Source organism: Homo sapiens, chromosome 17, assembly GCF_000001405.40.
Source record: "Homo sapiens chromosome 17, GRCh38.p14 Primary Assembly".
NCBI lineage: Eukaryota > Metazoa > Chordata > Mammalia > Primates > Hominidae > Homo > Homo sapiens.
The window spans coordinates 74,182,246-74,203,494 of record NC_000017.11 but is presented as its reverse complement, the minus strand read 5'-3'; the positions used below and the strand labels follow the sequence as shown (position 1 = coordinate 74,203,494).

Genomic DNA, 21,249 nt, shown 5'->3' with positions numbered 1-21,249 from the left:
CTCCGCCTCCCTCCTCTCGCTCCTCCCCATCCCTTCCTCCTAGGACCCCCGCCTCTTCCCCGTCCACCCCTTCCTGTCTTCCCCCGCAACCCCTCAGACCCCAGCCTGGCTTTGCTAGGTTTTAGCTCAGATTCAGTTTGAAGAGCTAACGCTTATTCTCCACGGCTTTCATTGGACCTGCGCAGGGGCATCCACACAGAAAATTCTTCATTCAATGGCAGGGACCCTCGTGTGCACCTTGTAGAACCTGTTGTTCTGGCGCCTCACGTTTTCTTCCCGTCTCCTTTTTGGCACCTGAACCTGTCATGACCAGGGCCCTGGGCTCTTCTTTCCATAAGAGGGAGCGTTCCTGCTTGCTGCTTCCAATTCCCTTAGGAATTGGTGTACAATGAAAGCAAGTTAAGGCCGGGCGCGGTGGCTCACGCTTATAACCCCAGCACTGGGGGAGGCCGAGGCAGGCGGATCGCTTGAGGCCAGGAGTTCGAGAGCAGCCTGGGCAACCTAGTAAGACCTCCCCCCCCCCATCTCTAGCAATAATGATAATAATAATAATACTTCCAAAAGCTGTCGCAGCGCTGCCCCTGGCTAAGTGTCTCACCCCTAGGGCTGATGGTGAGTGGGAGTGCTCCTGCTCTTGCGGGGTCTCACCGCGGCCCCAGAGGGGAGAGGTGGACTCAGGAGTTGAACCCCTGCTGGGCAGATTCCCCAGCCCAGGCTCCGGCCACTTCCTGGGGAGGCTTGGGAAGCCTGGGGAGGGCAGCGTTCCTTTCTCCCCCTAACATCCTTTAGGTTAGACTCTGAGCAACCTGCGGTTATCGATTTTATTTTTATCCTCCATTTTTATTTTATCTCCAACCTCCCTACAAATGTCTACATTTTATTATATTTGTTTCCCCAAAATTTAATAACCACACGGCAGAATGTAATTGCTTCGTGCTTATTATTACAGAGCGGCCCTCCTGAAGGGAAAGAACACTTTGCCATGAGCTTTACTTAGAACTTATTTAACTTAACCTTCCTTTCTTCCTCCCTCCTGCCCTTCCATTAACAAGCTCAGGCTGAGCACCTTCCTGGGGGTGCTGGAGATACAGGAACCAATAGACCTTGCTGCAGAGAGATCACAAAAATATTGTAATAACACTGAAGAGTCTTTTAAAGAAGCTGAACGATGTCTCTGCAACTGTAAATGTGTCGGGGTTCTAGCAGTGGGAAAAGTTAATTGGCAGAAGCCTAATTTTAGATGTCTGAAGGTCGGATCCGATCTGAGAAGCACGAGTGCTTCAGCTCTGACCTGAGAAGGATTTTCCCATACCTCAGAGCCCGGCTTTGCCAGCCCTTCCCATCTCAGGCGATGCCTTTCTGGTCTTTTCTACCCCACTGCTCCTCCACAAGCAACCACCCTTTCAGCCAAGCCGAGGGGCACTTTTGGGCACTTTCTGCCCTCCAGGTATTTGCTCTGCTGTCCACTCTGATGCCAAGTGCCACTGGTCCTTCCGAGCTCAGCTCCCGCCTCCCCTTTTTCAGGCAGGACCCTTCACCCTTGACTTATGTTGCTTGCCGCTCATACAGTGGTTCCTTGCAATCACTTCTCCGTAGGCTGCGTGGAGGTGTTTAACTTTTCATACATGCGCACCACTCTTTTTATTTTTAATTTTTTAAAACTTTTTTAGAGACATGGTCTCCCTAGGTTGCCCAAGCTGGTTTCGAACTCCTGGGCTCAAGGGATCCTCCTGCCTCGGCCCCCCAAAGTGCTAGGATAACAGGTGTGAGCCACTACGCCCCACCTTACCACTTTTCCTTGAAGGCAAGGACAGGGCTCAGCATTCTGTCGATAACTCTCGAAGTGCAGTACCCATCTGTACAGTAAGTGCTCAATGCTAACATTGCAGGATGATCCGGCTGGATGCGGCATCTGAGATCACTCACCATATAAAGGGGTGGTGGATGGAGGGAGGAATTCAGGGAGAGCCAGAAGGAGACACTGACGTGCCTGAAGCAGTGCCTGGCATGTAGTAGGTCCAAAAACTATTTGTTGAATGAATGACTGGTGCTTCTTGCCTCACTGCCGGCCCGACAGGACAAGGACGGGGATAGAAGGAGGAGCTGCACCTCCCTTTTGGCAGCGATCCCAGGGAGACAGATGTTCACCCTCTTGAGTTGTATAATTTAAGGGACCATAGACGTGTAGTAGCAAAACACAATGGCAAATTTGTTCAAGTACCAAAGACCTCCAGCTCCCCAAGGGGGACAAATAGCAAAATAAGCTGCAGCTACTAAAAGTGAGGCAAGGTGCCCAGAGGGCACGCTTCCCTGCTCCATGGGAAGATGAGCCCCAAATGTCCTGGAGTGGCCGGGGACTGTCAGAGACCAAGGGGGGCAGAGCCTAGGCCCTGAGTGCCACAGCCTGAGACCTTGAGCAGATGCTGACCTGGACATGAGCCTCCCTGATGACTCCCATATACACATGAAACAAAACTCTCCAGGGCCTAGGGTGGATCCTGCAGGAGAGGAAAGCCCCGGACTCGAGGGCAGGATGGCCCAGGCTGCCTGTTATGGTCGCTCTGGCCATTGGTAGGCTGGAATGTCCAGTGCTGGCAGCTGTGGGATGGTGAGGGCTATTGCTGTTGTCAAGAGGCGGTAGGGAGGGTCTCAAGCAGTGTGTTGCAGCATGGCTGGAGGCAGGAGAGGCTCAGAGGGCATGTCCGGAGCTACAGGACACAATCCAACCCTTTTCCTTCCTTCCCTTCCCTCACTCTGCTGGCTCTGGGCAGAGAGGGCCTCAGAAGTCACCGGGCCTCCCCTCCTCCCTCCAGCAGCCCCACTCTGGCCACCTCTGAAGGCCAAATGGTTTAGAGTTCTCTCTTCAGTTTTCAGGGACACATTGGAAAGAGGACCAGGATGGGTCAAAAAAACCCCAATGCCCCAGCTCGCAGGTGGGCAGAGGGCTGGCACGGCACATGGCTGGGAAGACTTCCCAACCTCCAGGATTTTCCCCCATTCAATCCATTCCGTTCACTTGGTGAACATCGGGCTGGGCTTGGGAATAAGCAGAATGCGGTTCCTGCTCCAAACACTCATGACTGTTGGGATCCCATAATAAGCTGTGGAGGATGCCCAGAGGCTAGGGGTCTAATTCCTCCTGAGGGAGTCCTGGAAGGCTTCGTGGAGGAGGGGACACAGTCTGCTGCCTCCGAGAGGGGTGCGCAGCAGCTTGCCCGGAGAAGGACTTCCAGACAGAAGGAGGGAGGGAGCTGACGTCAGCCCAGGGTCAGGAGAATGCGGGGTGTTTCTGAGAATGAGTGGGAAGTTCAGTGTGGCAGAGGTAAGGAGGGTCTGGGGCAGGGGGTCGGGGAGAAGAGGCTGGAGGGGGAGTTGGGCTGGAGTTCAGGGCCTTCAGGAGTTCCCCTTCCAGCCTCACTTATGCCCGCTGTGGTCATCGTCACCCAAGGGCCCATCCCTGGGGTCCATAGCACCTCCTTCACTGCCCAGCGGTGATCTTCCGAGCCTTAGTTTCCTGGTTTCTGTGTGTGTGTGCGTGCACGTGTGTGTATGTTTTGGGGGTGGGAGTGTGTGTGCTGTCGCCTCTCTCCCGCCTCGCAGGGTTGCAGCGAAGCTTCTATGGGGTGATTCGCAAAGCTCCAACCCGCACCTCTCAGGCAAGGCCCGCCCTGGGTGCTGTGTCCACTGGCGGCCGCACGGGGGCGCTGAGGCCGCGGCTGGAAACGGAATAGCCCCTTCCGCGCGACTCCTGGGAGCTCAGGCGGAGAGAAATGTCCATAAATTATCGGGAATATTTGTATGCGATTTCATACCTGGTGGAGTGCTTTCATATCCACCATCTCATTTAATCTCCAAGAGGCCCCTGCCTTTGGCTGCCGGCAGGGCTGGCCTTTAAACCATCTCGGAAGGGAGTTGTTTATTAAACCTTAAAGGTTGTCAGCAGGCCGGGACTCTGGTCCCTGGCACTGAACTCATTTACCTGGGAAAGGATGGGGAGTCGGGTGGCGGGGTGAGTTGGTGCTTTATTTATTTATTTTTTTGAGACAGAGCCTTGCTCTCTTGCCTAGGCTGGAGTGCAGAGGTGCAATCGCTGCTCGCTGCAGCCTCGACCTCTCGGGCTCAAGTGGTCCTCCTGCCTCAGCCTCCCAAGTAGCTGGGACCACAAGCATGTGGTCTTATATTCTTTCTTTCTTCCTTTCTTCCTTTCTTTCCTTCTTTCTTTCTTTCTTTCTCTCTCTCTCTCTTTCTTTCTTTCCTCTTTTTTTTAGAAATGGGGTCCCCTGTGTTGCCCAGGCTGGACTCTAACTCCTGGCCTCAAACGATCCTCCTGCCTTGGCCTCCCAAAGTACTGGGATTACAGGCTTGCGCCACTGTACCCGGCCCACTGGTGTTTTTTTAGAAACTGAAGATGGTGAGTTTAAAGGGATACTGGTTACTCACTCTCCCCCTGGCCCCCAAAGAGTCTGTGAGCCCCTGAGAGGTAGACAGGTTTAACATTCTCCCTGCTGCTGAGCTAGAAGCCACGAAGAAAGGCCAGGCAGACTGGAACAGGGGTTCTCACGCCCCACATGGTTGACCTTTGTGGATGGGGTCACTTTCACTTTTTGTTTAGGGGCTGAGGCTCTTCTGAGCCTTGTGAGGATCCCAGGCCCCTACTTGGTTAATGCTAGACCCTCACAATTGTGAGAAACGAAAATGTCTCTAGACATTGCCAAATGTCCCCGGGGGAAAGCAGGGCAATGCCACTTGTGGTTGAGAGCCGCTTGACTAGAAGGCCAAAACCACGAGGACATTCTTTTTCATAATGGATATCTCTGTTCTGTGCCTATGGCCAGGTAACTCATGGGCTCAGGCTACTGTCTTATTTGCACCTAGCCTAGGGTTTCAAAGCTTTTCTGTGGATGCTGTAAGGAGGACAGCCCTGGGTGCTGCCTCTGCCCGGGCTCAACGGGTGGCAAGGCGGGGTGCAGTCGGCTCTAGTTACCAGGAGCCTCGTCCCTACTCTGGGAGGCAAGGCAGCTGATGTCAGCCCAGAGCGGGTGGGGACACCTTTTCCAGTGGGAAGCCTCGGGATGGGGTGGGGAGCTGGGGTGGGAGAAGGGAGGAGAGGCATGGGGCACGTCTTTAAGGTGCCTCTAGGTACCTAAGTGGTGAAGATGCACAAATAAGATCCTGTCCCTGTTCCCATCTCAAGGGACACACAGAATAGTAAGGGAGGCAGTGATGAGGTTGGGCCCTAGGTGTAGGAAGTGTTTGGAATTGTGGGACCAGATGGAGGCCATGGGGGTCTGATACAGGCTGGGGAAGGGGTGATACAGGCCAGGAAAGTCCTCCAGGAGTAACATCGATGGTGATTCACAAAGAGGAGTAGAATATTGCTTTGTCCTGAAAACCCAACACCTCCAGAGGAGCCTGCTAGTATGTGCAAACCCTCATAGCAAATAAGTTCCAGGGTGACAAGAATGAAAGAAGCATCAGATTGAGTGGTATCAATCTAGGTGGTCTTCCTGGAGGAGGCAGTATGATAGGGTGGGAGGAAAACTCTTCCTGGAGGCAGGAAGTCTTAGATTCAAATTCAGTGTCTGGCTGGGAGAATTTGAATGAGTCTCCTGAGAGCTCTGAGCCTCAGTTTCTGTTGAGTATTAATTCCTGCTAGGATCCAGGCCACTGCGGCCAGTTGTGTGCAGCCTGCACAACTGTCTGCAGCTGCCCTGCTTATGAGAAACCAGAAGGCACCAAGAATAGAAAAATGCTTAGCCCAGCAGCCGGCTCTGTGGCTGTTAATTGAATGTGATTCCCAGGCAAGAGTTGCCAATGGATTTGGAGGAAAAAACCTGCAACCTGGTGGAGGCGTGGGCTGGAGTGGAAAGCAGCCCTCCTTGCCCAGACCTGTGAGGCTGGGGAGGGCCACTCCGAAAGCCCCGCACCATCTCCTCCATGGGGGGCAGAGTCAGTTTTGACAGATGACACCTCCCCAGCTCCCCTGCTTTTCCCTACTGGCCCCTTTCACTCCAAGAACTGCTTCCTGGGTGTCCAATCTGCAAGCACAGAAAGGACAGATGAGGCCTCATCCACCAACAGTGAGAAAAATAACACTGAGGCAGAGGAGAATGCATTTTCAGCATGAGGGACAAGCACCCCTCCTATAGATCAACATGTGCCAGGGTGAGGGGACATCAGAGTGAGAAAAAAGGGCACAGACCCTTCAAAGAGGGCTGGCCTATCGGCTTGTATATATCTTGCATTATGCGGTGGGAGAGAGGAAATCAATAGAGCTGTCAGCTGCTTCATGCATTCAGCCTCGCAGGCGTCTCCTCCTCGGGATGCTCCAGACAGATGCTTCAAATTAAAAACCAGGGAGGGGGGTGCTGGGGGTGCTGGGAGACAAACACCCTGACAGGCCAGAGGGAAAGGAGGGAAGCCACTGAGGATCTGGGGAAATTAAAGTCCATAAATCACGAGCGTCCCGGGCGTGAATGACACGAGCGTCTTAGCAGTAGTGCTGGACGGGTTGTGGGTCCTTCTGCTAGGCAGAGTCCCCCAGGGGAAGGCTGGTGACCCCGTGGGCGGGCTTCTCTCCCCCAGGCTCCGACCCCCTGCAGGAGGGAGAGGAGGGCGGGGCAGACCTCTGGCCTTGCTGGTGTTAGTGCCGGGATGGAGGGCGTGGGTGTGGGCTGGGCTGGGGCGTGGCATGGGGGCACAGGGTGAAATGGAGGTGATCTCATAACCCGGGTCGTGTGGGTGGAGTGTCCTTTGGGTGGGCGCAGGCGGGTGGGTTGCAGCATCTCCACGGGAGCACAGCGATTTGCTCCCTGGTAACTGCTCCTGGGAATCTCTGGCATCTGACGGCTGAAGCCGCGTCCCTGACCCGCTCCCTGGGCTGCAAGAGTGGACCCCATGGAGAGCCCCGCAGCCTACACTCAGTCAGCCCTGCCTGCCTCTCCTCTGTCCCCCGCTGCTGCCTGTGTGTCTGCTCCTCCTGCTCACCCTGTCTGTGAGCCCGTCCTGCCCGCTGGGCACCTGCTCTTCCCTCTGCCAGAGGTTCCTGCCTTCTGCCCCTCTCATTTTTCAGTGGAGCCCCCAGGTGCTGCTTTGTTCCCTTATTTCTTTTTTCTTTTCTTTTTTTTTTAGCCGGAGTTTCAGTCTCATTGCCCAGGCTGGAGTGCAATGGCATGATCTCGGCTCACTGCAACCTCTGCCTCCCGGGTTCAAGCGATTCTCCTGCCACAGCCTCCTAATTAGCTGGGATTACAGGCATACACCACCACGCCCAGATAATTTTGTATGTTTAATAGAGACGGGGTTTTGCCATGTTGGCCAGGCTGGTGTGGAACTCCTGACCTCAGGTGATCTGCCCACCTCAGCCTCTCAAAGTGCTGGGATCACAGGCATGAGCCAACGCGCCTGACCTCCTACTTTGCTCCCTCCTTCCAGCTGTGGGCCAGCGGCCCTTGTGAGGAGGCCTGAGTGGTCGTGGGTCCCCTCTGTGTCCTGCCTAGGGCTGGCCAGCCTGGCTTGGGGTGTGGGAGAGCTGGTGCAGAGGCTTGGGAGGGAAATGTTCGAGGGGCAGAAGGGCTGTCCCTGTCCCCCCGAGATAACTTTGTGCCACCCTCACCCTGGGCTCATCTGTCCATGGGGGCCCAACAGAGAAGGAAACCAGAGAAGAAACAATCAGGAGAGGAGGGGCTGTCTCCCCCAAATGCTGTTCGCCTCCCACCTGAGGGATCCTTCGAGGTCCTAGCAGGAAGTGGAGGCACAGCCAGACTGTGTGTTTTGAGGGTAATTTTCATAAAAGGTCTGTTTGCAGGCATGGGCAGGTGCAGGACACCAGAGAGGAGAGTGTGGAGCTCCAGCGAGTGTCAGCGGGGACTGTTACTACCACGGAGGAGAGGAGGGGGTCACCAGACCCAAGACAGCGCTGCAGTGAGGAGGGGTCTGCTTGATGGGGCTGGGACTTTCAGCCGAGCAATGCCCTCAGCCCGTGGCCGCCTCTCAGGGAAACGAATGCGCTGAGCTCACGATCTTCCCTTCCTTCTCTCAGTGTTCTGCCTGGGCACCCCATTGGCTGAGCTCAACAGGTTCAAGGCGGTCTTCCTTGGGCACAGAGCAAGATATACAGCCCACCCCCTCCCCAGCACAGTGCAAGGAGCCCATCAAAGGTGGTGTCTGGATGGCTTTGTGGGAGATCTCCTCTCCCCTTTCTGGTCACAAGGCAGAGAAGTCCCCCAGGGCTTGGGCTGGTGCTCTTCCATCCTGTCCCACTAGCTCTCAGGAGCCCTTCACTCCCTTATCCCGTAGATCTTGGCCATGCCTTTAGCTGAGGTTGGAGACACACTCTAGCTAGCCTGCACAACACACAGATGAGCCCAGACACTCCTCTCCAATGCACAGCTGAGCCCAGACATACTTTCCAATGCACAGGTGAGCTTGCATGCACGTATAGTCACGTGCCTGCCAAGGCATCTGGAGAAACAGATAGGCCTGAGGTTGCTTGGTGGTGTTACACCGCCCAGGACAAGTTCTACCAATTAAACTGGTGACCATGTTTCCAAAAGCAATTACCAGAGTGCTGCAATGCCTCCCAAGGTGAGGAGATTAAAGACACGGCTCCTGGCTAGAAGCAGGGACTCGAGGGGTCTGTGTGCTGCATACATCAGAGACGAGCCCACAAGTACCTGCCTGTGAGCACACACGTGCTTAGAGCAGCCAGACCCGGGAGGGATTTGGGGGAAGGAGACACACCAGGAACTCACCCGCAGAGGCCAGCAGCCCCTCAGCACAGGTGGGGCCTGGGTCACTGTGTTCCTTCTTTCTTCTGTTTTCTTCTCTGGTGTGTGCAAGCAACAGTAACAAAACAATTTGTGCGAATCTAGACTCAATGCTGGGGGATGGGGAGGAGATGTACCTGCTTGTTAAAAAGGGAGGAAGTGGCTGTCATTGACCTAAGTGGTAAGAAGCCACCTCTTCCTCACCAGCAGCTGCGTGTTCCCATGTCGCAGGAATCGCAACATCTTTGGAAAAAGAGGAATGGAGGTAGAAGTGGCCCTTACCCCTAACCAGTCTCCTGCCTGGCTGAGTCTTGGGGAGGAAGGGTTTCTGGAGAGGGCATGGCTGCTCTCCACAGTCTGGGCCTCCAAGCCATGGCTCTGTTCCTAACCCCCACCTGCTGTCAGGAGCACTTTGGAGGTGGGTCTGGGCTGTTCCCGTCACTCAGTCATCTTTCCCCTTCCCTGTAGCCTGTGGCTTCTGGAAAGTCAGCCTCAGGGGTGGAGGGAGGAGAAGGGGTAAGGGAAGGGGTGGAGGTGGAAAGGCAGGCTGGATGCCACTGCTTCATGCCCCTGGTCCTGTCCACGTCTTTCTTTTTTTTTTTTTTTTTTTTGAGATGGAGTGTTGGTCTGTCACCCAGGCCGGAGTGCAGTGGCGCAATCTCAGCTCACTGCAACCTCCACCTCCCGGATTCAAGCGATCGTCCTGCCTCAGCCTCCTGAGTAGCTGGGATGACAGGCGCCCACCATCATGCCTGGCTAATTTTTGTATTTTTAGTAGGGACGGGGTTTCACCACATGGACCAGGCTAGTCTCTAACTCCTGACCTCAAGTGATCCGAATGCCTTGGCCTCCCAAAGTGTTGGGATTACAGGCGTGAGCCACCGTGCCTGGCCCACTTCCTTCTTACCTTTCTGTTCACAACCTCCCTGTCAGCCCTCGCCCGACAGGCTGATCTGCTATTAATGGAGCAAGACAGCTGCAGTTGGCTTGTTAATTACAGCAGATGAAGTCTTCAGCCCAGGCTCCTGGGGAGGGCAGAGGAGGCGTGGCTGCAGTTGGTTGTCAACGTGGCCTTCCCCTTGCATTTAACGCCCTGAGAACAGAGGTCTGGCTGGGTTGGCAGAGGGTCAGCGTGTGTGGCTGGCTGGAGTCACATGAGACCTGGGGAGGAAGCCTGCTGGTGGAGCAGAGAGGGACCCTGTCCTGTGGTTTCAGCATAGAACAGGGAACAACAGCTTCCGCTGTGTCGAGTGTCTACTATGCGCCAGGAGCCACTCCAGCTGTTCCAGGAAGATCATCTGTAATCCTCACCACGGCTCTAAGTTAGGCAAAATTGAAACCCTCATTTTATAGATGAGGCCTCTGAGGCACAGAGAGGTTAAGTGACTCACCCAAGGTCACACAGCTAGTAACTGGAGGGCAAGGAAGCCTCGTGACTTGAGTGTGCAGCGTTGCCTTATTGAATGCCTCAAAGCCTTTGCCTCCTTCTCCAGGGACCAGCTGGGTCATGTGTTCGTCGGAGCAGGACCCAAACTGTGAGGTGACTCATTTATTCTGCAAATATTTACTAAGCACCTTCTCTTAGCTAGAACATGATCTTCTCTTAGAGATGAAGAAACATGTTCCCTGTGCTGATGGAGTTTGCCCTCCAGCCTGGGAGATGGGCTGTTTTCCCAGCTCCACACCCTGCCTGATGGCCTCAGATGATTAGACTATCCTGGGACAATCCTGGGGTTGGGACTGAGACTCAGAGATGCTCTGGTTTGTGGTTGATTGGCCTGAGATTTTATGCAAACCAGGGGCAAAGGGTGATTATTTGAGGGAAGCCATAAGGGGTGTTGTATGCAGAATCCAGAGAGCAGGTGGCCCTAGAAAAAGAGCAGCTGTGGCTGGGCACGGTGGCTCATGCCTGTAATCCCAGCACTTTGGGAGGCCGAGGTGGGTGGATCACCTGAGGCCAGGAGTTTGAGACCAGCCTGGCCAACATGGTGAAACCCCGTCTCTACTAAAAATACAACAATTAGCCAGGCGTGGTGGCGTACGCCTGTAATCCCAGCTACTTGGGAAGCTGAGGCAGGAGAATCGCTTGAACCGAGCCTGGGCGACAGAGTGAGACTCTGTCTCAAAATAATAATAATAATACTAATAATAATAATAAAAAGGGCAGCTGCTTGCTGGACATATTCTTTGTCCCCATGAAACCAGCTGTACTTTCTGCCCCGGGGTATTGTGAACTTTCCTGCCCCCATAGTTCTGCTTTTTCCTTTAGCTCCCTTCCCAGGCATGGTGGTGCTCACCTGTGGTCCCCAAAATGGAAAGCGAATGAGAAGTCCTGGTTAAGGTGGAAGAGAAGACGAGAAGTCCTGCCTAGGGCATAAGACCCTTTCACTGTGGGAACACTGAATGGGGAGCTGGATGACTCCCTGGGGCCTGAACAAATGTCTAGGTTTTCACCAGGCAGGGAAGAGGGACTGGCGAGGCATTCCAGGAAGAAGGAGTGGAACCTGGCAGAGGGAACAGCATTAAAGGTCGAGGGGGCTATGCAAGGGCGTGACATGCTCAGAGGCCTGCAGACAGGGGTGTGTTGGCAAATGTTTAAAATCCAGATTTCTTTCATTCTTTTTATTTTTTTTTTTGTGACGGAGTCTTGCTCTTGTCACCCAGGCTGGAGTGCAGTGGCGCGATCTTGGCTCACAGCAACCTCTGCCTCCTGGGTTCAAGCAATTCTGCCTCAGTCTCCCGAGTAGCTGGGATTACAGGTACCTGCCATCACGCCTGGCTAATTTTTTGTATTTTTAATAGAGATGGGTTTTACCATGTTGGCCAGGCTGGTCTGGAACTCCTGACCCCAAGTGGTCCACCCGCCTAGGCCTCCCAAAGTGCACGGTGTGAGCCACCGTGCCTGGCCTAAAATCCAGATTTCTGACCAAAAAAAAAAAAAAAAAAAAAAGCCAGAAAACCTTAACTGTGGCATTTGCTGATTCCTGTGGTGTAAATACTCTCACCACGGCTGATTTCAAGCTGCCAATTGCCTTGCAAAACTTTTGAGTATGTACAAAGCAGCTCTCACAAGCTGGGTGCTGGTATGAACCACTTCCAGCATGCCACAGCATCAGGTCATCTGTCATTGCCAAAATGCAGAGGCACTTGGGGAGGATAGGAGAAGAGGCTGGAGAGGTGGACTGAGAGAGGACTGGGAAGGGTTTGAACGTCACATTTGGGAATTTGAGCTTTAACATGAAGCAGCAAACGCCCAGACCCTGATTGGGTGGCTCTGGGTATATGTGTGAGCAAACAGTTGTCCTGCTGTTTGCTTTTCTGTTGTGCCCTGGCCGTCCCTTAAGCTGGTCCTCTGAATAACTCCAAGGGGCCTGTGTGGACTAGGTAGTAGACCTGGAGAAATGTGCACAGAATGTGAGGTGCATTGTTTTCTAATAGGGAGGGAGAAGGTGAGTTCTAGCTCACCCCAGGCAGCTGCACTGTGAGGCCATCCCTCATCTTAATGGGCTCATCCAAATCTCGTTTGCTAATGAGGAATTTAATGGTCACAGACTGACAAGCGAGGAGAAACGGGAAGGTCATTATGAAAATGAAGTATGTAGCTAAATACCACCTCACTTCCATCCCACCAGCCCACCCCTGTGTGCCAGCCTAGAGCGGGTAGGTTGGTGGGAGAAACAGGGACTGGCTTGATCTCAGCTTGAAACTGGGCTCCAGGCTGGGCCTGTGGGTCAGCACCACGGACAGGGCCAGCACTGTTCTTCAAAGTCCTGTGGGCTGGAATGCTTTTTCCTTTTTGCTCCCAGCCAGTTTGTTTGACCAAGACTCAGATGGGGTGTCACCTTCCCCTGCAAACCTTGCACACAGCCCCACATGGATGAGGGCCACAGTGTTTACATGACTTCTGCACATTCTCATAGTGCCTATGCCATGGTGCTAAAATGATACATTTCCTTGGCTGTTTTCCCTGCTAGCTTCTGAGTAACTTGAGTGCAGAGTCTGTACCATTCTCTGCACGTCTGGAATGCTGACCAAATGCCCGGTATTGTGAAAGACATAGGAAGAGAATTTCTGAGACTAAATGAATGAACTAGTGAACAAATGAGTAGGTAGAGGAGTGAAGGAACGAATGCATGAATAATGGGTTTGATGAAACCATCAATAGCAATGGAACCATAGGCCACGCTATTGAAAGGGAGGGTAAGGATCTGGATTCAAAAGAAACATCCCATCCCTTAGATTGCATACACAAGCCAGGCAGAGGGAAGTTAGAACAGAGATTTCCAGAAATCTCCACATCCACTCCTACATCCTCCCATCGTACAGGGCTGTTCATAATAAAACTACATATCCCAGCACTCTTTGCAGTCATTTGTGACCATGTGACTAACTTATGACCAATGGGGTGTAAGGAGATGTGTAAAGGGAGCTGGCATCTGTTCTCTGTTGCTGTAATGGAATATCTGAAACTGGGTAATTTGTAAAGAAAACACATTTATTTCTTACAGTTCTGGAGGCTGAAAGGTTCAAGGTCAAGGGACTGCATCTGGTGAGGGCCTTCTTGCTCATTTGGACTCTATATGGAGTCCCGAGGCAGCACAGGGCATCACAGGGTGAGAGGACAAGAAAAAACAGCCAAACTAACTTTTGTAACAGCCCTCTGGTGATAACTAACCCATTCCCAGGATAACTCATTAACCCGTGAATTTATCCCTTGTGACTCAATCACCTCTTAAAGGCCCACCTCTTAATACTGTTCCACCGGAGATTAAGTTTTAACATGAGTTTCGGCTTGAGTTTCAAAGGGGACAAACACTCAAAGCATAGCACATGTCCTTTTCCTTCCCTTCCTCCTCCCTGTTGGCTGGATGGTGGGAGTGATGGCTGGAGCTGAAGCAGCCGTCTTAGACTTGGAAGCCAGGCAACAACATGATAGAAGTGTGGGTCTTTTGATGACAGTGGGCTCCTCTCCTCATCCACCATGGAAGAGCTCAGTTGCATCTCACCTTGTGCTCAGTAGCCTGAGAAGGACGGTAACAGGTCAAGGCTGCTGGGCCAGGGCAGCCAGGAATCCTGGCTGGTGTTTGGGACATAGAGGAGACCATAGACCAGTGGGAGCAAACCTGGTCTACAGGGAAGAGCACTGGACAGAAAGTCAGAGGATTATGTCATATTCTTGGTTGTTTTCTTCATTTCTTCTCCTATTTGGGAAGACTTTCAATCAAGGCTGGCTGCTGGATTGTTTATTGGGGTCAGTTCAGCAAGCTGGGACTAGGGAGGCAAGTGGTGGTGAGGATGGCTCAGGAAGGGATGTCTTTTCAAGGCCTGGCTTTGGGAATGTGGGGAGGAGAGGCTGGAGAGAGAGAGCTCAATGGAAGGTGAGTTAGGCAGAATTGCACGATGAACCCCAAGGACTTACACACCCATTGTATGATTCCCTCCCCTTGTGTGTGGGTGAGACATGAAACTTGCTTCTATTTAATAGAATATGGCAAAGATGACTGGGCACAGTGGCTCACGCCTGTAATCCCAGCACTTTGAGAGGCTGAGGCAGGAGGATCACTTGAGTTCAAGAGTTTGAGACAAGCCTGGGCAACATAGTGAGACCCTGTCTCTACTAAAAACAAAAGAAAATTGGCCAGGCATGCTGGCACACACCTGTGGTCCCAGCTATTCAGGAGGCTGAAGTGGGAGGATTCCTTGAGCCTGGGAGGTTGAGGTGGAGGCTGCATGACAGAATAAGATCTCATCTCTTAAAAGAATATGGCAAAGTTGAAGAGGTTTTGCAGATGTCATTAAGGTCCCTAAATGGTTAACTTTAAGTTGATCAAAAGGGAGATTATTCTGGATGGGCCTGGCCTAATCAGGCGAGCACTTTTTATTTTATTTTATTTTATTTTATTTTATTTTATTTTATTTTATTTTCTTATTTGAGACGGAGTCTCTCTCTGTCACCCAGACTGGAGTGCAGTGGTGTGATCTCAGCTCACTGCAAACTCCACCTCCCGGGTTCAAGCGAGTCTTATGCCTCAGCCTTCCAAGTAGCTGGGATCACAGACATGCACCACCATGCCTGGCTAATTTTGTATTTTGAATACAGATGCAGTTTTGCCACGTTGGCCAGGCTGGTCTAGAACTCCTGACCTCAAGTGATCTACCCTCCTCGGCCTCCCAAAGTGCTGGGATTAGAGGTGTGCACCACTGCCCCCAGCCCATGAGCCACTGCACCCAGCTCAGTAAGCACTTTAAAAGAAGACCTGGACATCAGAGCCTCTCTCCTGCTGGTTTTGAAGAAGCAAGCTGCCACAAGTCTACAGCTGTAAGGAAATGAATTGTGCCAACGATCCCATGTGCTTGAAAGAGGACCCTGAACCTCAGATGAGACCCAGTCCCAGGAGACAGATTGAGTGCTGCCTCTCAGGACCCTGAACAGAGGAGCCAGTTGAACCATCAACAGGCTCCTGACCCACAGAAACTGTGAGACAATAAACGTGTATTGTCTTAAGCTCCTAAGTGTGTGGTCATTTGTTACACAGCAATAAAAGGTTTGTAAGAAGGTCAGATGTGCCCTGACTTCCCTGCTTTGGTTCAGCCCTACTGCCTGCGTCTCTGAAGCTGGGAGGTGGGGCTGGGATCACAGCTCAGGGTGATGCGACAATGAGAAAGAAAATTAAAATCCAAGATGGAGCGATTCAAAACTGTAATCTCGGCAAACAGTGGCACTTAGATTTCCCATTATTGATCCCCTCCGCGGATATTCTCCAGTCTCGTAATTACAGGAGGACTTTTTCAATTTGGGCTGAAATGCTTCCCCTCCCCCCATGCCCCTCCTTTATTTCTTTAAACTCGCAATAACACGCAATAGATTGTATGCAGCTGTGGAGTCTAAATAAACAGAGCTAATCATTTTAATTGAAATCCGATCTCAGCAGCAGGAAGGCCCTTCCGTTGTGATATTCTCCCCTTTATCTCCCTAGAGCAGGGAGCAAGTCCTGCTCCTGGCTTGGGCCACTCAGGGACACAGACACACACACACACACACACGCACACACCTTTCTCCACCTCTGCCTTTGCATCTGTTCATCCTCCAGGACTTGGTTCAGACATCACCTCCCTGTCTCTCCTCTTTGCTCCCAGTCCTAGGGCTGACCACCTGCAACCTCCTAGGTCCCCACTGGTTGCTGGGAGATGCTGACCAGAGTTGGAGCTGGGGGTCAGGCAGGCCCTCCCAAGCACAACCTCTTCATCTCCCTGCCTCCAGGCACAGGGTAGGCCAGTCTCTGCCCGGATCCTCCTGACAGCTCACCCACGTCCTTTATTCACCACGTTTTTGGCCACTGGTAGTTCTCTTCAGCTAATCTGGGGTTCTCAGACAGAGAAGGGCAATTTTGTCCCCCTCCCCCAGGAACATTGGGACACATTTTTAGTTGTGACAACTTGGGAGGAGAATTTCCACTGGCATCTAGTGGGTAGAGGGCAGGGGTGCTGCCAAACATCCTACAGTGCACAGGATGACCCCATAACAAAGAACCATCTGGCCTGAAATGTCAATAAATAGTGTGGATACTGAGAAACCTCAAGCTAACCTAAGTTCTTCTTCTTTTTTTATTTTTTGAGATGGAGTTTCGCTCTTGTCACCCAGGCTAAAGTGTGATGGCACGATCGCAGCTCACTGCAACCTCCACCTCCTGGGCACAAGCAATTCTCCTGCCTTAGCCTCCCAAGTAGCTTGGATTACAGGCACTGATCACCATGCCCAGCTAATTTTTGTAGTTTTTAGTAGAGACTGGGTTTCACCACGTTGGTCAGGGTGGTCTCAATCTCCTGACCTCAGGTGATCCTCCCGCCTCGGCATCCCAAAGTGCTGGGATTACAAGTGTGAGCCACCCCGCCTGGCCCCTAAGTTCTTCTTGAACTCATGTAATTTTGCAGAATGGAAAGAAGATTAATAGCCAGAGATGGAAGGAACCAACAAACCAGGATGATGACACACACGGCACACACATGCACACACGCACGCACGCATGCACACACACGCACACACATGCACACACATGCATGCACACACGTGCGTGCACACACATGCACACACGCGCACACGCACACACATGCACACACATGCACACACATCACACACACTCGCACGCACACACGCACACACGTGCACATGCACACACGCACGCACCCCCCCTTTCTCCACCTCTGCCTTCACGTCTCTTCATCCTCCAGGACTTGGTTCAGACATCACTTCCTCTTGGAGTCTTCTCCAAGCTGTGGGTTGTGTGACATGTCCCTCCTCTGTGCCCCCTGAGTCCCCCATATATGTGATTTCCTTAGCATTGACCATCCCCAGTGACATTACAAAGTTTTCATGCAAAACGGACATGATGACAAAGGTCAGGACAATGGTCACCTTGGGGGTGGGGAGTGGCTGGGAAGGACTTTTGGGCTTCTGCGGGGGTTGTTCTGTTCTGTTTTATTTCTTGCTCTGGGAGCTGCTTTGCTGTAAGGTTCACCTTGTGAAAATTTGCCTTGCTAAATAAACACTATCACCCGTGCATTTTAGGTATGTGTTTTATAATTCAATAAAAACTTAAAAATTTTTTCCTTGTAACCTCATCCAGGTAGAGACCCAATAATGACCCAATAATCAGACCTGAAGCGCGGACACATGACACACATCCCTGCCTTGGCTGCCCTGAACCCTGGCCCCCCGGGCCGCTGTCATCCTGGCTTGGGCCAGGTGTGGGCTCACCTCTGTCTCTTCCTCCTCCCTCCCTCGGCTTCCTCCAAGAGATGCCCTTGGCCACAGCTTCCAGAGTTGGTCCCTCTGTTCAGAGCCCCTCCCTTCCCCCTGGCCAGGAGCATGTTAAAGAGAGATGGTGCCATTGAAGTAATTACCACCGCAGGCACCAGGGAGACATTTACCACTCACTAAAAAACATTTTCCCTAGCACGCCCATTAAACCCTGGCATTTAACCAGGAACTACAAATCTCAGCTCAAGAGAGACCCTGCCACTTCATAACCCAAGAACCAGGGGAGCCACCAGCCTTACACAGCTTTTGCTTCTCATCACTTTTATTTTGTTTGAAATGGAGTCTCCCTCTGTCACCCAGGCTGGAGTGCAGTAGTGTAATCTCGGCTCACTGCAAGCTCCGCCTCCCGGGTTCATGCCATTCTCCTGCCTCAGCCTCCTGAGCAGCTGGGACTACAGGCGCCCACCACCATGCCCGGCTAATTTTTTTGTATTTTTAGTAGAAACAGGGTTTCACCATGTTAGCCAGGATGGTCTCGATCTCCTGACCTTGTGATCTGCCTGAAACTCCATCTCAAAACAATCAGTCCAAGGGGGCCAGGAAGGGAGTCCTGGGTACAGAACGGGCACACAGTGTGGCTGGTGTGAAATGAGGCCAGAGGGGCCAGTGTTGGATGGGGCTTGCACCCCACACCAAGGGGCTGCCCTTTATGCTGGAGGCAGTGGAGAGGATGCAGACGGTCCAGGCTACTCAAAGTGTGGTCCGAGGGCTAGTGCCAGTCTAAGAACTGTGTGTTACCCATCATTGACCAAGCAAGTCTAGAAACTGAGAGGAAGCATTTAGAAACGGTCGTAGCAATTTGACAAGCTAATTTTATGCCTTTTGATTTAATAATAAAAATTAGCCTTGCGTTTTGTATGTTATTTCAAATTTATTTTTTCTAATAATTAATATTTATCTTGTTTTTGCAAACACAGTAATGGTAACACCACTTTGGCAGTTCCTAAAAAAGTTCAACCTGGAATTCTACTCCTAGGTGTATACTCAAGAGAATTGAAAACGTATGATCACACCAAAACTTGCACGTAAATGTTTGTTACAACATCACTAACAATTGCCAAAAAGTGGAAACAGCCCAAATGTACATCAACTGATGAGCGGATAAACAAAATGTGGTATATCTAGGCCGGGCAAGGTGGCTCACACCTGTAATCCCAGCACTTTGGGAGGCCGTGGCAGGTGAATCATTTGAGGTCAGGAGTTCAAGACCAGCCTGGCCAATATGGTGAAACCCCATCTCTACTAAAAATACAAAAATTGGCCGGGTGTGGTGGCACACACCTGTAATCCCAGCTACTCAGGAGGCTGAGGCAGGAGAATCGCTTGAAACTGGGAGGTGGAGGTTGCAGTGAGCTGAGATTGTACCATTGCACTCCAGCCTGGGTGACAGAGTGAAACTCCATCTCAAAACAACAGCAACAACAAAACAAACCCCCCACTCCTGCCAGAAAAAAACCCAATGTGGTATATCTATAGGATGGATATATTTTTTTTTTGAGACAGAGTTTCACTCTTGTTGCCCAGGTTAGAGTATAGTAGCACGATCTCAGCTCACTGCAACCTTGCAACCTCCGCTTCCTGGGTTCAAGCAATTCTCCTGCCTCAGCCTCCTGAGTAGCTGGGATTACAGGCGTGCACCACCACATCCAGCTAATTTTTTGTATTTTTAGAGAGATGGGGTTTCATCATGTTGGTCAGGCTGGTCTTGAACTCCTGACCTCAGGTGATCCACCTGCCTCGGCCTCCGAAAGTGTTGGGATTACAGGCATGAGCCACCACGCCCAGCCTATGGGATGGAATATTATTCAACTACAAAAAGGAATGAAGTTCTGATCCATGCAATGACATGGATGAACCTCGCAAACATTGTGCCAAGTGAAAGAAGCCACATATTGCATGCTTCCATTTATATGAAATGTACAGAACAGGCAAATCCACAGAAACAGAAAGTAGATTAGTGATTGCCAGGGGCTGGGTGAAGGAGGAAATGAGGAGTAAGTACTAAGGGTATGAATTTCTTTCTGGGCTGATGAAAATGTTGCAGAATTAGGTAGTGGTGATGGCTGTGCAACGTTCTGAAATACATTGAAAACCACGGGATTGCACATCTTAAAAGAGTGAACTTTACAGTACGTGAATTATATCTTAATAAAAATATTTTAAGGTGTTGATCTGTCACAGACTGGTAATTAAAAAAACCCACAGGTCCTGCACCTCGGGTAGCTGGAGATGCACTGAATTAGCTCATCTGTCCGGTGAGAAGCTGTGTGCCAGCCAAGGGGAGGAGCGACCAGGCTCCCTGGGTGAGAAAGTCAGGCGGCCCAGGGCTCAGGTCCTGACTCCCGCCCAACGGAACCAGCACTAGGGAAATCAGTGTCTGTTATGTTCTGCGATGGGGCGGTTCTAGGCAGAGGTCAGTTCATGAGAAACAGGCATTGGGGGGATGTGATAATTCTAGAAATCTGTACCTCAAAACAAAACTTTGTTTGTTGCTGTTGTTGAGACGGAGTTTCACTCTGTTGCCCAGGCTGGAGCGCAGTGGTGCGATCTCGGCTCACTGCAATCTCCGCCTCCCAGGTTCAAGCGATTCTCATGCCTTGGCCTCTGGAGTAGCTGGAACTACAGGCATGTACCACCATGCCCGGATAATTTTTGTATTTTTAGTAGAGATGGGGTTTTACCATGATGGCCAGGCTGGTCTCCAACTCCTGGCTGCAGGTGATCCATCCGCCTCGGCCTCCCAAAGTGATGAGATTACAGGCATTAGTCACTACACCGAGCCATCAAAATAAAGCTTGTTCAAGACTTTTTCTGGGAGGAGGTGGGAGTGGACTGGCCTTCCTGACCTTGTCTCCCCGTCCACTTCAGCTGGGAGTTGGCCACTGCAGAGACCAGGCCTCCTCCGTCAGTCAGCGACCAGTTTGCTGGGATCCAGGGTGCCAGGAGCTGCCCTGTCTCTGCCAGGAGGAGCGGAGACCAGGGGTTTGTTTTCTTACCCTGTGGAAGATTCATTAATTTCCTGCCAAAATCCTAAGAAGTCTTCAGCCAGGAGAAGGTGTGGGGAGCACCTGTACCCAGCTGCCTGCCTCTGATCTGCACAGGGGCAGCCAATGTACTGGAGAGGGAGTTGGCAGGGGTCGGGGGGAAGGGACCAGGTCCCAGGGATCTGCTGGGAGCAAAATGAAAATAGCCTGGAGCTGGGCTACATAATGACAAACGATGACAATAATCATCCCTAGGTTTAATAGGTGCCCGCTCTGTGCTAAGAGCTTCACAAATGCTGCTGTTGCTAAACAGCCCAGCCCTCTCAGAGGAATGTCATTATTGTCTCTCAGTTACTGCTCAGGAAACGGAGTCTGAGAAGAGCCAAGCGGCAGCGCCCTCATGGTGGAGACGTAATGCAGGTCTGCTTGCCTCTGCAGCACACACACCACACTCTCGTGGATGCCACGCTCTCATGGGTGCCGCACACAGAGCGGATAGCTGGCAAGCAGGGAGGAGGAAGGGTGGCCCAAACATGGCAGGGTCCCCACCCCTGGGAAGGGTCACTCGAATTTTCCCTATCACTGCCGGCCATGGGACGAGGGGAGGGAAGCTGGTGCTGGTGCTGAGCAACTGACCCAAGGCCCTGGAGCTCCTTGCTGGAGCTGGGAGGGAGGCAGG

The 21,249-nt window shown here is 52.0% G+C and overlaps 5 annotated features.

Moving 5' to 3' along the window:
• Positions 78 to 581: an enhancer, noted in NCBI's record as "H3K27ac-H3K4me1 hESC enhancer chr17:72199053-72199556 (GRCh37/hg19 assembly coordinates)". NCBI's record gives its function as "activates a minimal SCP1, AML or CMV promoter by ChIP-STARR-seq in naive H9 embryonic stem cells {active_cell/tissue: H9 hESC(naive)}" and the evidence as "EXISTENCE:reporter gene assay evidence [ECO:0000049][PMID:30033119]".
• Positions 3,536 to 3,585: a silencer, noted in NCBI's record as "silent region_8926". NCBI's record gives its function as "represses an Ori minimal core promoter by ATAC-STARR-seq in GM12878 lymphoblastoid cells {active_cell/tissue: GM12878}" and the evidence as "EXISTENCE:reporter gene assay evidence [ECO:0000049][PMID:35858748]".
• Positions 6,065 to 6,565: an enhancer, noted in NCBI's record as "H3K4me1 hESC enhancer chr17:72193069-72193569 (GRCh37/hg19 assembly coordinates)". NCBI's record gives its function as "activates a minimal SCP1, AML or CMV promoter by ChIP-STARR-seq in primed H9 embryonic stem cells {active_cell/tissue: H9 hESC(primed)}" and the evidence as "EXISTENCE:reporter gene assay evidence [ECO:0000049][PMID:30033119]".
• Positions 6,566 to 7,066: an enhancer, noted in NCBI's record as "H3K4me1 hESC enhancer chr17:72192568-72193068 (GRCh37/hg19 assembly coordinates)". NCBI's record gives its function as "activates a minimal SCP1, AML or CMV promoter by ChIP-STARR-seq in primed H9 embryonic stem cells {active_cell/tissue: H9 hESC(primed)}" and the evidence as "EXISTENCE:reporter gene assay evidence [ECO:0000049][PMID:30033119]".
• Positions 20,749 to 21,249: an enhancer, noted in NCBI's record as "H3K4me1 hESC enhancer chr17:72178385-72178885 (GRCh37/hg19 assembly coordinates)". NCBI's record gives its function as "activates a minimal SCP1, AML or CMV promoter by ChIP-STARR-seq in primed H9 embryonic stem cells {active_cell/tissue: H9 hESC(primed)}" and the evidence as "EXISTENCE:reporter gene assay evidence [ECO:0000049][PMID:30033119]".